This window comes from Homo sapiens, chromosome 7 (genome assembly GCF_000001405.40).
Source record: "Homo sapiens chromosome 7, GRCh38.p14 Primary Assembly".
Lineage (NCBI taxonomy): Eukaryota > Metazoa > Chordata > Mammalia > Primates > Hominidae > Homo > Homo sapiens.
This window is the reverse complement of record NC_000007.14, coordinates 64,565,896-64,579,362: the sequence shown is the minus strand read 5'-3', so window position 1 is coordinate 64,579,362 and position 13,467 is coordinate 64,565,896. Positions and strand designations below refer to the sequence as shown.

General features: G+C 49.7%; 2 long non-coding RNA genes and 2 pseudogenes across 3 annotated transcripts in view, besides 2 other annotated features; 2 read left to right on the top strand and 2 right to left on the bottom strand.

Annotated features, from left to right (window-relative positions):
* The window catches only part of LOC100128885 (uncharacterized), a 43,895-nt gene extending 39,227 nt beyond the window's left edge, over window positions 1-4,668 (bottom strand). Inside the window, exon 1 of the long non-coding RNA NR_077227.1 lies at window positions 4,515-4,668. This is a non-coding gene — a long non-coding RNA (uncharacterized LOC100128885). The remainder of the gene's footprint in view (window positions 1-4,514) is intronic.
* Window positions 4,089-4,589: an enhancer, noted in NCBI's record as "H3K27ac hESC enhancer chr7:64035152-64035652 (GRCh37/hg19 assembly coordinates)". NCBI's record gives its function as "activates a minimal SCP1, AML or CMV promoter by ChIP-STARR-seq in naive H9 embryonic stem cells {active_cell/tissue: H9 hESC(naive)}" and the evidence as "EXISTENCE:reporter gene assay evidence [ECO:0000049][PMID:30033119]".
* Window positions 4,318-4,377: an enhancer, noted in NCBI's record as "active region_26059". NCBI's record gives its function as "activates an Ori minimal core promoter by ATAC-STARR-seq in GM12878 lymphoblastoid cells {active_cell/tissue: GM12878}" and the evidence as "EXISTENCE:reporter gene assay evidence [ECO:0000049][PMID:35858748]".
* Window positions 6,070-10,688, bottom strand: LOC124901657 (uncharacterized). 2 transcript variants are annotated; one of them, XR_007060357.1, is made up of 2 exons: window positions 10,395-10,688; window positions 6,070-6,481 (listed from the first exon to the last, which is right to left on the bottom strand). It is a non-coding gene; the product is annotated as an uncharacterized LOC124901657 (long non-coding RNA). The 2 variants fall into 2 exon arrangements; XR_007060356.1 differs by lacking the exon at window positions 10,395-10,688 and adding an exon at window positions 9,304-9,445.
* Window positions 8,926-11,493, top strand: LOC100129293 (IgLON family member 5 pseudogene; annotated as a pseudogene).
* On the top strand, window positions 11,886-12,567 carry LOC100133092 (PAGE family member 4 pseudogene; annotated as a pseudogene).

Genomic DNA, 13,467 nt, shown 5'->3' with positions numbered 1-13,467 from the left:
GGAGTTCGAAACCAGCCTGGCCAACATGACAAAACCCCATCTCTACTAAAAACACAAAAATTAGGCCGGGCGCGGTGGCTCACGCCTGTAATCCCAGCACTTTGAGAGGCCGAGGCAGGCAGATCATGAGGTCAGGAGATCGAGACCATCCTGGCTAACATGGTGAAACCCCATCTCTATGAAAAATACAAAAAATTAGCCGGGCGTGGTGGCAGGCGCCAGTAGTCCCAGCTACTCGGGAGGCTGAGGCAGGAGGCTAGAGAATGGCATGAATCCGGGAGGCGGAGCTTGCAGTGAGCGGAGATCGCGCCACTACACTCCAGCCTGGGCGACAGAGCGAGACAAACAACAATAACAACAACAAAATTAGCTGGGTGTGGTGGGCGCCTGTAATCCCAGCGACTTGGGAGGCTGAGGCAGAAGAATTGCTTGAAGCTGGGAAGCAGAGGTTGCAGTGAGCCAAGATCGCGCCACTCCACTCCAGTTTTCGCGACTCTGTCTCAAAAAAAAAAAAAAAAAAAATCTAAAAAGGTTTGCTTTTCCGAGGAAGACTACACCAGGAGATTCCTCTCAGCCCCAGGGCACCCACCTGCTCCCTTGAGAGGCTACACTCCATACCTCAGGTTGTCTTATGGGAGAAAATGACTCAGGAGCTGATATTCACTAGACACTCTAGCCGACATAGCCACAGTGGATATCTTGATTTATCCCCAGACAGTACTGAAACCCAGGACCAGAAAAAAACTGAAGGGTGGCTAAGGACGCATCACTCCATAAAGTTTCCAAAGGGAAACCTTCACCCAAAAACATTCTGATAAAATCTCTGTGGCTAGGAAAGATAAAAGGAAAAGAGGCACAGAGATTTTTTACAATAAAGCGTCAGGGGAATTATTCTGCTTTCTTCTCATGGGAAATAATTTCAAACAGAAAACAAAGTGCCATCCAACGCTTTATCAAAAAATGATTAAAATACGGAATATAAAATGCATACTGAATGGCAAAAATTTAAATGCATTCTAAATCTAATGCTTTTCTTTTCTTTTCTTTTCTTTTTTTTTTTTTTTGAGACAGTTTTGCTCTTGTTGCCCAGGCTGGAGTGCAATGGCGCAATCTCTGCTCATCGCAACCTCCGCCTCCCAGGTTCAAGTAATTCTCCTGCCTCAGGCTCGCGCCTCAGCCTCCCAAGTAGCTGGGATTACAGGCATGTGCCACCACGCCAGCTAGTTTTGTATTTTTTTTTTTTTTTATTGATCATTCTTGGGTGTTTGTCGCAGAGGGGGATTTGGCAGGGTCATAGGACAATAGTGGAGGGAAGGTCAGCAGATAAGCAAGTGAACAAAGGTCTCTGGTTTTCCTAGGCAGAGGACCCTGCGGCCCTCCGCGGTGTTTGTGTCCCTGGGTACTTGAGATTAGGGAGTGGTGATGACTCTTAAGGAGCATGCTGCCTTCAAGCATCTGTTTAACAAAGCACATCTTGCACCGCCCTTAATCCATTTAACCCTGAGTGGACACAGCACATGTTTCAGAGAGCACAGGGTTGGGGGTAAGGTCACAGATCAACATGATCCCAAGGCAGAAGAATTTTTCCCAGTACAGAACAAAATGAAAAGTCTCCAATGTCTACTTCCTTCTACACATACACAGCAACCATCCGATTTCTCAATCTTTTCCCCACCTTTCCCCCTTTTCTATTCCACAAAACCGCCATTGTCATCATGGCCCGTTCTCAATGAGCTGTTGGGTACACCTCCCAGACGGGGTGGTGGCCGGGCAGAGGGGCTCCTCACTTCTCAGACGTGGCGGCCGGGCAGAGACGCTCCTCACCTCCCAGATGGGGTCGCGGCCGGGCAGAGGCGCTCCTCACATCCCAGATGGGGAGGCGGGGCAGAGGTGCTCCCCACATCTCAGACGATGGGCGGCGGGGCAGAGACGCTCCTCACTTCCTAGATGGGATGGCGGCCGGGCAGAGGCGCTCCTCACATCCCAGATGGGGAGGCGGGGCAGAGGTGCTCCCCACATCTCAGACGATGGGCGGCCAGGCAGAGACGCTCCTCACTTCCCAGACGGGGTGGCGGCCGGGCAGAGGCTGCAATCTCGGCACTTTGGGAGGCAAAGGCAGGCGGCTGGGAGGTGGAGGTTGTAGCGAGCCGAGATGACGCCACTGCACTCCAGCCTGGGCGCCATTGAGCACTGAGTGAACGAGACTCCGTCTGCAATCCCGGCACCTCGGGAGGCCGAGGCTGGCGATCACTCGCGGTTAGGAGCTGGAGACCAGCCCGGCCAACACAGCGAAACCCCGTCTCCACCAAAAAAATACGAAAAGCCAGTCAGGCGTGGCGGCGCGCGCCTGCAATCGCAGGCACTCGGCAGGCTGAGGCAGGAGAATCAGGCAGGGAGGTTGCAGTGAAACGAGATGGCAGCAGTACAGTCCAGCTTCGGCTCGGCATCAGAGGGAGACCGTGGAAAGAGAGGGAGAGGAAGACCGTGGGGAGAGGGAGACCGTGGGGAGAGGGAGACCGTGGGGAGAGGAGAGGGAGAGAGAGGGGGAGGGGGAGGGGGAGGGGGAGGGGGAGAGGGAGAGGGAGAGGGAGAGCTAATTTTGTATTTTTAGTAGAGACGGGGTTTCTCCATGTTGGTCAGGCTGGTCTCCGTGATCCATCCGCCTCGGCCTCCCATTGTGCTGGGATTACAGGCGTGAGCCACCGCGACCGGCAATCTAATGCATTTTTTTTGTAAATTACTCTTTGGGGAAACAAAATTCAGCCTTAACCAACTATAAACTGCCAATTAACCAATGAATACCTAACCAGGAAATGTCCACCTTGATCGTACAAATTAAGAAACTACATAACTCTACTAAATCAGTTATTGAATTTGGGTTTCTCCATCATGCACTTTATATATAAAGTTTTTCTTTTATATTTAAAGTTTTAGGGACATGGATGAAGCTGGAAACCACCATTCTGAGCAAACTATCTCAAGGACAGAAAACCAAACACCGCATGTTCTCACTCATAGGTGGGAATTGAACAATGAGAACACTTGGACACAGGGTGGGGAACATCACACACCGGGGCCTGTCGTGGGGTCGGGGGAGGAGAGAGGGATAGCATTAGGAGATACACCTAATGTAAATGACAAGGTAACGGGTGCAGCACACCAACATGGCACATGTATACATATGTAACAAAGCTACACGTTGTGCACATGTACCCTAGAACTTAAAGTATAAAAAAAAAACCAAAAAAATAAAAAAAGGAATCGTTATAGAAAGTACTATGTAGAGATATAAGAGAAGCAGTAAAATCTCATTATAAATAAAAATAAATAAACTTTTATATATAAAGTTTTTCATGGACCACAAACTACACACCATAGCTGCTAGCTGGGTGCTCTTCAATTCTTGAATTACTCTTTTTTTTTTTTTTTTTTTTTTTTTTGAGACGGATTCTCGCTCTGTCGCCCAGGCTGGAGTGCAGTGGCGCAATCTCGGCTCACTGCAAGCTCCGCCTCCTGGGTTGACGCCATTCTCCTGCCTCAGCCTCCTGAGTAGCTGGGACTACAGGAGCCTGCCACCACGCCTGGCTAATTTTTTGTATTTTTAGTAGAGACGGGGTTTCACCGTGTTAGCCAGGATGGTCTTGATCTCCTGACCTCGTGATCCGCCCGCCTCGGCCTCCCAAAGTGCTGGGATTACAGGCGTAAGCCACCGCGCCCGGCCCTTGAATTACTCTTTGATTTTGTTCTTTAATATTTTTACCTTGACTCCCATACTTTTTTTTTCTTTTTTTTTGAGACGGAGTTTCGCTCTTCTTGCCCAGGCTGGAGCGCAATGGCGCGATCTCGACTCACTGCAAACTTCGCCTCCCGGGTTCAAGCTATTCTCCTGCCTCAGCCTCCAGGGTAGCTGGGATTACAGGCGCCTGCCACAACGCCCAGCTAATTTTTGTATGTTTAGTAGAGACGGGGTTTCACCCTGTTGACCAGGCTGGTCTTGAACTTCTGACCTCAGGTGATCCACCCGCCTCGGCCTCCCAAAGTGCTGGAATTACCGCGTGAGCCACCGCGCCCGGCCCGACTCCCATAAATTTTTAATCAAAAAAAAAAAAAAAAAAAAAAAAAAAAAGGCGGGGGCACTGGAAACACCACGGCCCAAAGCTCTTCTCATTCATGAACCCCACACCCTGAGTCAGGATTTTCCCTTGACTACCGTCCCGTGGTCCCGGCACAATGGGGAGAGATGCGGCGATGCCGGTGCAGAGCTGCCCAGCGAGAGCTCCAGGCCATGGCACAGTCACCGCGCAGGGAGGAGACAGGACGCCCGGGGTCCTGGCTGTCAGCTCAGCCGCCATCTTATGGCTGAAGGGGACTGAGGGCCGAGCTGTACCAAGGACAACTCTGGCCAAGGATTTTGGAGCCGACAGCGGGGAGGCCGGAGTCCCGCCACAGCCACTTCAGACTGGTTCCAACCAGCCCCTCCCCCTCTCTCGGGGTGTCTGACCCAGCAGACTCACCATTTTTCTAGGCTTCCCAGGGGGTCCTGGCATCTTAGCTGTGGATCTCCCAATACCTACAGGTCACAGGGACACAGAAGCTGGGCCTCTAGGAGCAGAAGACACAGAACAGAGAAGAAAAGACCTGGAGCTACGACTGCAGCCAGAGACAAAGGCCGCGCCAAATCTCGAAAGCCGTCCTGTCCACTCCAGCTGCGTGCCTGATTGGATGGATCCCAGCCCAGAGTCCCTGATTGGATAACGTTTAACACCATACCCCTTTAGGCCCTGAGTGACAGAAGACGTGCTCAGGTGCAGGGCTGAATGAAAATAGAGTTGCAGCTTTTTCAGGCAGGGCTTCCTCCCTGAGCTGAGCCAGGCCTGCCTCAGAGGGCATTTGCATTTAACCATGTGTAAAAGATCATATGTGCATTTATAAATAATATATTATATGGCTATTCACAAGTGAAGATAATGTAATAACAATTATTTTTAAATTCCAGATTTTATTACCTTCCCGGCTTCTGGTCCTTTGAGCAGGCAGCCTGAGATTTTAAAAAGAAGGCAATCCTCTGAAATAAAATGTGGGCCACATGTGAATACTAAATTTTCTAGTAGTCAAATTTTAAGAAGAAAGAAGCAACAGGTGGAATAAACGGTAACCATTTAATTAACCCAATATATCCAACATACTATCATTTTAATATGTGAGCAATATGTAATTATTAATGAAATATATATAATTTTTACTCTAACTTTCTAGCATATCGCAGTTCAGACCAGCCACATTCCAAGCACCCAGAAGCAACATATACCCAATAACTGTCACATTGAAGTGCAGCTGTGATGTCAGGGTGGGCAAACGGCCTGAAAATCCCTTTTCTGCCAGAGGTAAAGGAAGAGCCTCTTCCTACCAACATCTCTCTTTCGTTCCAAGGGTGCAAAAGATAGTGACCATAGAAAGAGCAGAGGGCAGCCGGACACGGCAGCTCATGCCTATAATCCCAGCACTTTGGGAGGCTGAGGCGGGTGAATCACTTGAGGTCAGGAGTTCGAGACCAGCCTGGCTATCACGGCGAAACCCCATCTCTACTAAAAGTACAAAAATTAGATGGGCATGGTGGCAGGTGCCTGTAATCCCAATTACTTGGGAGGCTGAGGCAGGAGAATTGCTTGAGCCCTGGAGGTGGAGGTTCTAGTGAGCGAGATCATGCCACTACACTCCAGCCCAGGTAACAGAGCAAGACTCTGTCTCCAAAAAAAAGAAAGAAAAAAAAGAAAGAACAGAGGCCAGCAGAAATAAAATAACCCCAGGTAGACCACTGCTGCCAACGTGTTTTCCATTTTTGTTCCAGAGATCAGACAGTAAACAAAGGATGATGGGTCCACAGGAGAAGAAAACTCTATGTCTTCAGATATGTCCACAGTCTTGACCTCCAGTGTATAAATATAGAGAAAACAGATTAAAGGTAAACTTATTTTGCCATTTGGCCTTGGCCCTAATGGTCAGGCTGTGGTTATCTGTTTTCTCCTGTGGTTTATGGAAATGTGTGAGTATAAGCACCAATCACATGCACACATGTCTACATGTATTTATTCATTTCTCAGTATTACAAAACATCTAACTTTAAATCAGGGGAAAAAAGTCAGCACTTTTAGGGTGCCCACTGTTAGAACGTAATTAGTAATCAACTTGCCATTAATTTTTGGCATCCTATCTGCACTGGGTGCACGTATTAGTTAGCTCTTACAGCATAACAAACCATCCAAAACTTCTTAGCTCATAATTGTGATGGTCAGCCATTTAGGCTGGGCTTGGTGGGGCCATTCTTCTGGTCTCAGCTGAGCCTGTCAACTAGGCAGCTGTGCTTCTGGGCATGAGCTTCTGCTTCTGGGATTGTCAACAAGGGGCACCTTGCTTCTCCTCCCTGTTGTATCTTATCCTCCAGCTGGCGAACATGGGCTTTTTTCATGGAGATGGCAGCATTCTAAAAAACAATTAGAAGCATTTAAAACCACTTGAGCCTAGGCCTCAAACTAGCACACTGTCATGTTCACAGGTGTCTACCACCCCGAACAAATAAGGCCAGCCAGATCTGGGGTTTGGAAAACAGATTCTGGATCTCCATGGGAACACCTGTAAAAGCACCTGGCAATGAGCATGGAACAGGGAGAACAAAAAATTGCTACCATTTGTGCAATCAGAATCATTCTGTTTTTCAGCTTTTTGTTTTGTTTTGCTTTGTTTTTGGATATATGTGGCTTATAGAACTCTTCCACATCAAGAAATTGCCCAAACACCCACAGCTATTAAGTGACTGGGCTGAGACTCACTCTCTAGGGCTCTAAATCCTGGAGAGTAACACTTCTAAAATAGAAGCCAGATTCCTTTTAGATTTGTGCCCAAATAGTACTGTTTATTATTGGAAATAATCTCAATAAATTGCATAAGCACATGGTGGCTCATACCTGTAATCGTAGCACTTTGGCAGGCTGAGATGAGAGAATTATTTGATATCAGGAGTTAAAGTGCAGCCTGGGTAACATAGTAAGATCCTGTCTCCATGAAAAAGACATTATCCAGGCATGACAATGCATGCCTGTATTCCCAGCTACTCGGGTGGCTGGGGCAGGAGGACTGCTTGAGCCTGGAAGGTTAAGACTGCAGTGAGCCATGATTGGTTACACCACTGCACTTTAGCCTGGGTGATGGAGTGAGACCTTGTCTCAAAAGAAAATAAAATAGCTGGGCGTGGTGGCTCACGACTGTAATCCCAGCACTTTTGGAGGCTGAGGTGGGCAGATCACCTGAGGTCGGGAGTTTGAGACCAGCCTGACCAACATGGAGAAACCCCATCTCTACTAAAAATAGAAAATTAGCTGGGAGTGTTGGCACATGTTCGTAATCCCAACTACTCAGGAGGCTGGGGCAGGAGAATCGCTTGAACCTGGGAGGCAGAGGTTGCAGTGAGCCGAGATCGTACCATTGCACTCCAGCCTGGGCAACAAGAGCAAAACTCTGTCTCAAAACAAATAAATTAATTGGCCTGGTGTGGTGGCTCATGCCTGTAATCCCAGTACTTTGGGAGGCCGAGGCGGGTAGATCACAAGGTCAGGAGATCAAGACCATCCTGGCTAAGATGGTGAAACCCCGTCTCTACTAAAAATACAAAAAATTAGCCGGGTGTGGTGGTGGGGGCCTGTAGTCCCAACTACTCGGGAGGCTGAGGCAGGAGAATGGCGTGAACCCAGGAGGTGGAGTTTGCAGTGAGCCGAGATTGCGCCACTGTACTCCAGCCTGGGCGACAGAGTGAGACTCCATCTCAAAAAAAAAAAAAAGACATAGAATAATGTGGAGAAAACAGCTGAGAGATGAGTTTAGAAATCAAAGTCCAACAACACATTACTTATTTTTTTCATAGAAAAAAATTTGAAAACGTTTCAAAGAAAAAAGCTTTTAGAGAAATTAAATTTTACAGAGTTTAATTGAGCAAAGTATTATTTGCAAATCAGGCAATCTGTGGGCCCAGAGTAGGCTCAGACTTCAACACAGCCACATAGTAAAAAAAGATTTATAGACAGAAACAGCAAAGTAACATACAGAAAAAGAAAGTGAGGTACAGAAACAGCCAGATTGATTACAGCTTGAGATATGTCTTATTTGAACATAGTTCGAAAAGTTGATGTCCTTTTATTGGCATAAACACAGTAGTTGGTACAAGAATGGGTTACAGTCTATTTATATATCCAGTTAGGTTCAGTTTACTATGGTACTATGTACTATGGCAATTAGCAATTGCCATAACAGAATTAAATAAATATTTCTTATGGTCATCTGCTACAAGCTAATTAATTAGAAAAATTGGATAATGACTTTATGCTTTATTACATGTTAATTGTAAATGGTTCCAATCAGCATAAATATACTAAAGTATTTTCAACTTTGAAAGATCCAAGAATGATTAAATCCTTCTGAATAAGTGTTTATAATAACTAAGATTATAGCCCTGTAGCTACAAAAATAATAGAAAAAATAAAGTTGTTATCTATGAGAACAACATTCTTCAAATTATTTGAAGTTTAAAGGCACTGGGAAAAGGGATTACTAGAGATGTCATTTTACTATGTTACCCAATAATGTATTATTACCATTTGTTACCTGCAGCCTTGATTAAGGTGGGATAGGTTACAGATGGTGACAGGATATACTTCATTCAATGCACAACAATTTAAACACACTAAAGCCACTTTTGTTTGATTTTAAAAATTATGGATCGCGCCCCCCAGCCCCCTCCCCCGACCCCGGGCCGGTGCAGCCGCAGGCGGGGTCCCCCTCCCCCTTCCCCCTCCCCCTTGCCCCTCTCCCCCCAGGCCTCGCGCGCCCCGGACCGGCCCCCCCTTTCCCCTCCCCCTCCGTGCCGCCTCTGCCGCGATGCCCCCCGCTGCGCCCGGGGCCCGGCTCCGGCTTCTCGCCGCCGCCGCCCTGGCCGGCTTGGCCGTCATCAGCCGGGGGCTGCTCTCCCAGAGGCTGGAGTTCAACTCTCCTGCCGACAACTACACAGTGTGTGAAGGTGACAACGCCACCCTCAGCTGCTTCATGGACGAGCATGTGACCCGCGTGGCCTGGCTGAACCGCTCCAACATCCTGTACGCCGGCAACGACCGCAGGACCAGGGACCCGCGGGTGCGGCTGCTCATCAACACCCCCGAGGAGTTCTCCATCCTCGTCACCGAGGTGGGGCTCGGCGACGAGGGCCTCTACACCTGCTCCTTCCAGACCCGCCACCAGCCGTACACCACTCAGGTCTACCTCATTGTCCACGTCCCTGCCCGCGTTGTGAACATCTCGTCGCCTGTGATGGTGAATGAGGGAGGTAATGTGAACCTGCTTTGCCTGGCCGTGGGGCGGCCAGAGCCCACGGTCACCTGGAGACAGCTCCGAGACGGCTTCACCTCGGAGGGAGAGATCCTGGAGATCTCTGACATCCTGCGGGGCCAGGCCGGGGAGTATGAGTGCGTGACTCACAACGGGGTTAACTCGGCGCCCGACAGCCGCCGCGTGCTGGTCACAGTCAACTATCCTCCGACCATCACGGACGTGACCAGCGCCCGCACCGCGCTGGGCCGGGCCGCCTACTGCGCTGCGAAGCCATGGCGGTTTCCCCCGCGGATTTCCAGTGGTATAAGGATGACAGACTACTGAGCAGCGGCACGGCCGAGGGCCTGAAGGTGCAGATGGAGCGCACTCGCTCGATGCTTCTCTTTGCCAACATGAGCGCCCGGCATTACGGCAACTATACGTGTTGCGCCGCCAACCGGCTGGGAGCGTCCAGCGCCTCCATGCGGCTCCTGTGCCCAGGATCCCTGGAGAACTCAGCCCCGAGGCCCCCAGGGCCCCTGGCCCTCCTCTCCGCCCTGGGCTGGCTGTGGTGGAGAATGTAGGCGCAACCCAGTGGAGCTCGCCTCCCCCTGCAGGGGGCCTCAGGCCAAGAGTGAGAGAAAAGGGGGAGCAAGAGCCCTGGGTCTCGTGGGGGCAGAAGGGCTCTCGGCCACCAAGGAAGAAGAGAAGAGGAGAAAGAGGAGGAGGCAGAGGAAGAAAGATCTTTAGAGAACCCATCACTGTGAGGGGTAACGCAAAATTATGTATCTTTCTACAGCCATTCTCGCTACCCGTTCACGTTTCCGATTGTGACCCACTCCCGCCACCCCATACCCCTCTCTCTTAGCTCAGGCTGTCAACAGGCTTGTGTGGGTGTGGGTGTGTGAGTGTAAGCCTGCATGCGTGTGTAGGTGTCTGTGTCTCTGTGTGTGTGTGTGTGGGTGGGCTGGGGGAAGGGACTCAACCGTCCTCCCACCCCCGAAACCCCCATGTCCACTGTCCCCAACCCTACTGCCTCTCACCTCTGGCTGGAGGTAGGTATGAGGCTCTGCAGTGGAAGCTGTGAAGAGAGGCTTACCAGGCTCCCTGCTTCCCCAATATATGCAGGCACACTGACCCCTCCCCCTGTCGAAAGGACAACTCCTGGCAGGTTGGGAGTGGGGAGGGGCATCGCACTCACCTGTCAAGCTGTCATTCAGCCTTTGCGAGTAAGTGGGGGACCTCCATCTGGGTTCTGGGCTTCCCTGCTGTCAACCACCAGCTTCCTGTAGCCAGAGGCTCCATCGCTGGCTCAGTGGCCTGAGACCTTCCCACTTTTCCTGTCCCTACCCACCCTGGATTTTCTGGCCCCCTCTTGGGCCAATCGGTGCTTCCATCCAACTGTCAGACTGGTGGCAGGAGTCACCTGTCTGTTTCAGTGCTTTGCCTTACCCCTGCCACCACTCCCCTTGGCCTTGATTTCCCCACCTGCGGAACCAGCCAGCTGCCCCTGGGGCCTTTGCAGCTGGCCCACAGGTGTGGGCTTGCTGGTCTATCACTTCCTGGCCTCTCCACCAACTGTACTTCCCAAAGGCTACCTGACCGCCCTCACACACACTCAGACACACCACACACACACACACCAGCGACTGTGACCAGCAATAGCCCCCTGGCTCCAGCTGTCCTGTAGCTGGTGACTAGCTGTATTTCCCCCTGGGTAGGCATCTGTTGTCAGGAAGGGACGCTGAGAGGCTGCAGCCTCAGCTCTGATTGTAGGAATACTCCGCCCTGGTACACCACACCACACAAAGTGGGGGACAGAGAGGCATCACACAGACATCCTGAGCCCAGATAAAGATGCCATGTCACCAACTCCGACTCCCACGAGACCCTCTATATAAACACCCACCCCAAACCACACCACTCAGAGTCTGGTGGAGAAGAGGAGAGGGCAAGGCTCAGTGACTGTACCTCAGACGGGGGCATGGGCCCCATCCCACGTTGTCTTCCATTCCCAGGGTCCAGGGGATGGGGTGGGACTGGGGAGGGATTCTAGGGAGGGGGTGGGAGGCCCTGGGGGCTGTGTGTTCCAATTCATGGGGATTGTTGAGACCACCACACCAATAAATGCCTTTTTCCAAAAAAAAAAAAAAAAATTATGTTCACGGCCAGGTGCGGTGGCTCACACCTGTAATCCCAGCACTTTGGGAGGCCGAGACGGGCAGATCACGAGGTCAGGGGATAGAGACCATCCTGGCTAACACGGTGAAACCTCGTCTCTACTAAAAATACAAAAAATTAGCCGGGCGTGGTGGCGGGCACCTGTAGTCCCAGCTACTCAGGAGGCTGAGGCAGGAGAATGGTGGGAACCCGGGAGGCAGAGCTTGCAGTGAGCCGAGATTGCGCCACTGCACTCCAGCCTGGGCGACAGAGGGAGACTCCATCTCAAAAAAAAAAAAAAAATTATGTTCACACAGGCTAGATGTGGCTTGCATTCCAATGGTTGAGACTCTTTCACCTGAGACTGAGACTTGGTGGTCTTCAGTTCACTGTCTTCTAGTTGCAGTGATGAGTGCATGTGTAAGATCAAGATTCAGAGGAAGAGGAGATGGTCAAGAGGAATCTGATTTGGTTGCATTCATGGCTTCCCAGAAGCACCGTGAATCTCAATAAAAGAAACCACTGGTTGGTGTGGTGGCTCACGCCTGTAATCCCAGCACTTTGGGAGGCCGAGGTGGGTGGATCACCTGAGGTAAGGAGTTCGAGACCAGCCTGACCAACATAGAGAAACCCTGTCTCTACTAAAAATATAAAAAAAAAATTATCCGGGTGTGGTGGTGCATGCCTGTAATCCCAGCTACTTGGGAGGCTGAGGCAGGAGAATTGCTTGAACCCAGTAGACGGAGGTTGTAGTGGGCTGAGATTATGCCATTGCACTCCAGCCTGGGCAACAAGAGCAAAACTCAATCTCAAAAAAAAAAAAAAAAAAGAACACTAACTGAGAATTAGGATATTAAACCTGGACAAGAGAAAGAATAAACACCTGTGATTGAGCAACGTAAATTGGAAGCTGATTGCCGGAAATTGCATCTGGAAAAGACTGGGAGTAAGTGCAAAGATGGCCCTGATGTAAAAGAGAAGACTCCACCTAATCTGAAGCGTGCTAAGATTATAGAAGCAGGAGATGGGCAGCCATAAATTAAAAAGAAGATGAAGTGGTTGGTCGCAGTGGCTCACGCCTGTAATCCCAGCACTTTGGGGGACCAAGGCGGGTAGATCACGAGGTCAAGAGTTCAAGACCAGCCTGGTCAAGATGGTGAAACCCAGTCTCTACTAAAAATACAAAAATTAGCCCAGCTTGGTGGCGAGCATCTGTAATCCCAGCTACTTGGGAGGCTGAGGCAGAGAATTGCTTAAACCCGTGAGGCGGAGGTAGCAGTGAGCCGAGATCGTGCCACCACACTCCAGCCTGGGTGACAGAGTGAGACTCCGCCAAAAAAAAAAAAAAAAAAAAAAGAAGACACACACACACACACACACACACACACAGATGATGTCACATTGAAAATTTGACTGAAATTTTGAAAATACTGTCAATTAAGTTTGAGTTTTCACTGAAGCAAAAAATAAAACAAGCATCTTAGAATTAACTGTATTTTATTGTCTTAATGTGCAATTGGTAAAACCAATTTACTTCTTTAAACTTCAAATTTTTCTGACTATAATGCAGTAGACTATGACTCTAAACATTTCCCTCATGCATTTTGTGGGTATTATGACTTACCATAGAGTCAATCACAAAGAGAGTCTACACTTAAATTTTCTCCTTGCATCTTAAATTTCAGTATCTATAATCCTCCATAAAAAAGTATATGAGAGGCTGGGCATGGTGGCTCACGCCTGTAATCCCACCATTTTGGGAGGCTGAGGCTGGTGGATCACCTGAGGTCAGGAGTTTGAGACAAGCCTGGCTAATGTAGTGAAACCCTGTCTCTAGTAAAAATAGAAAAATTAGCCGGGCGTGGTGGCAGGTGCCTGTAATCCCAGCTACTCAGGAGGCTGAAGCAGGAGAATCGCTTGAACCCAGGAGGCGGAGGTTGCAGTGAGCTGAGATGG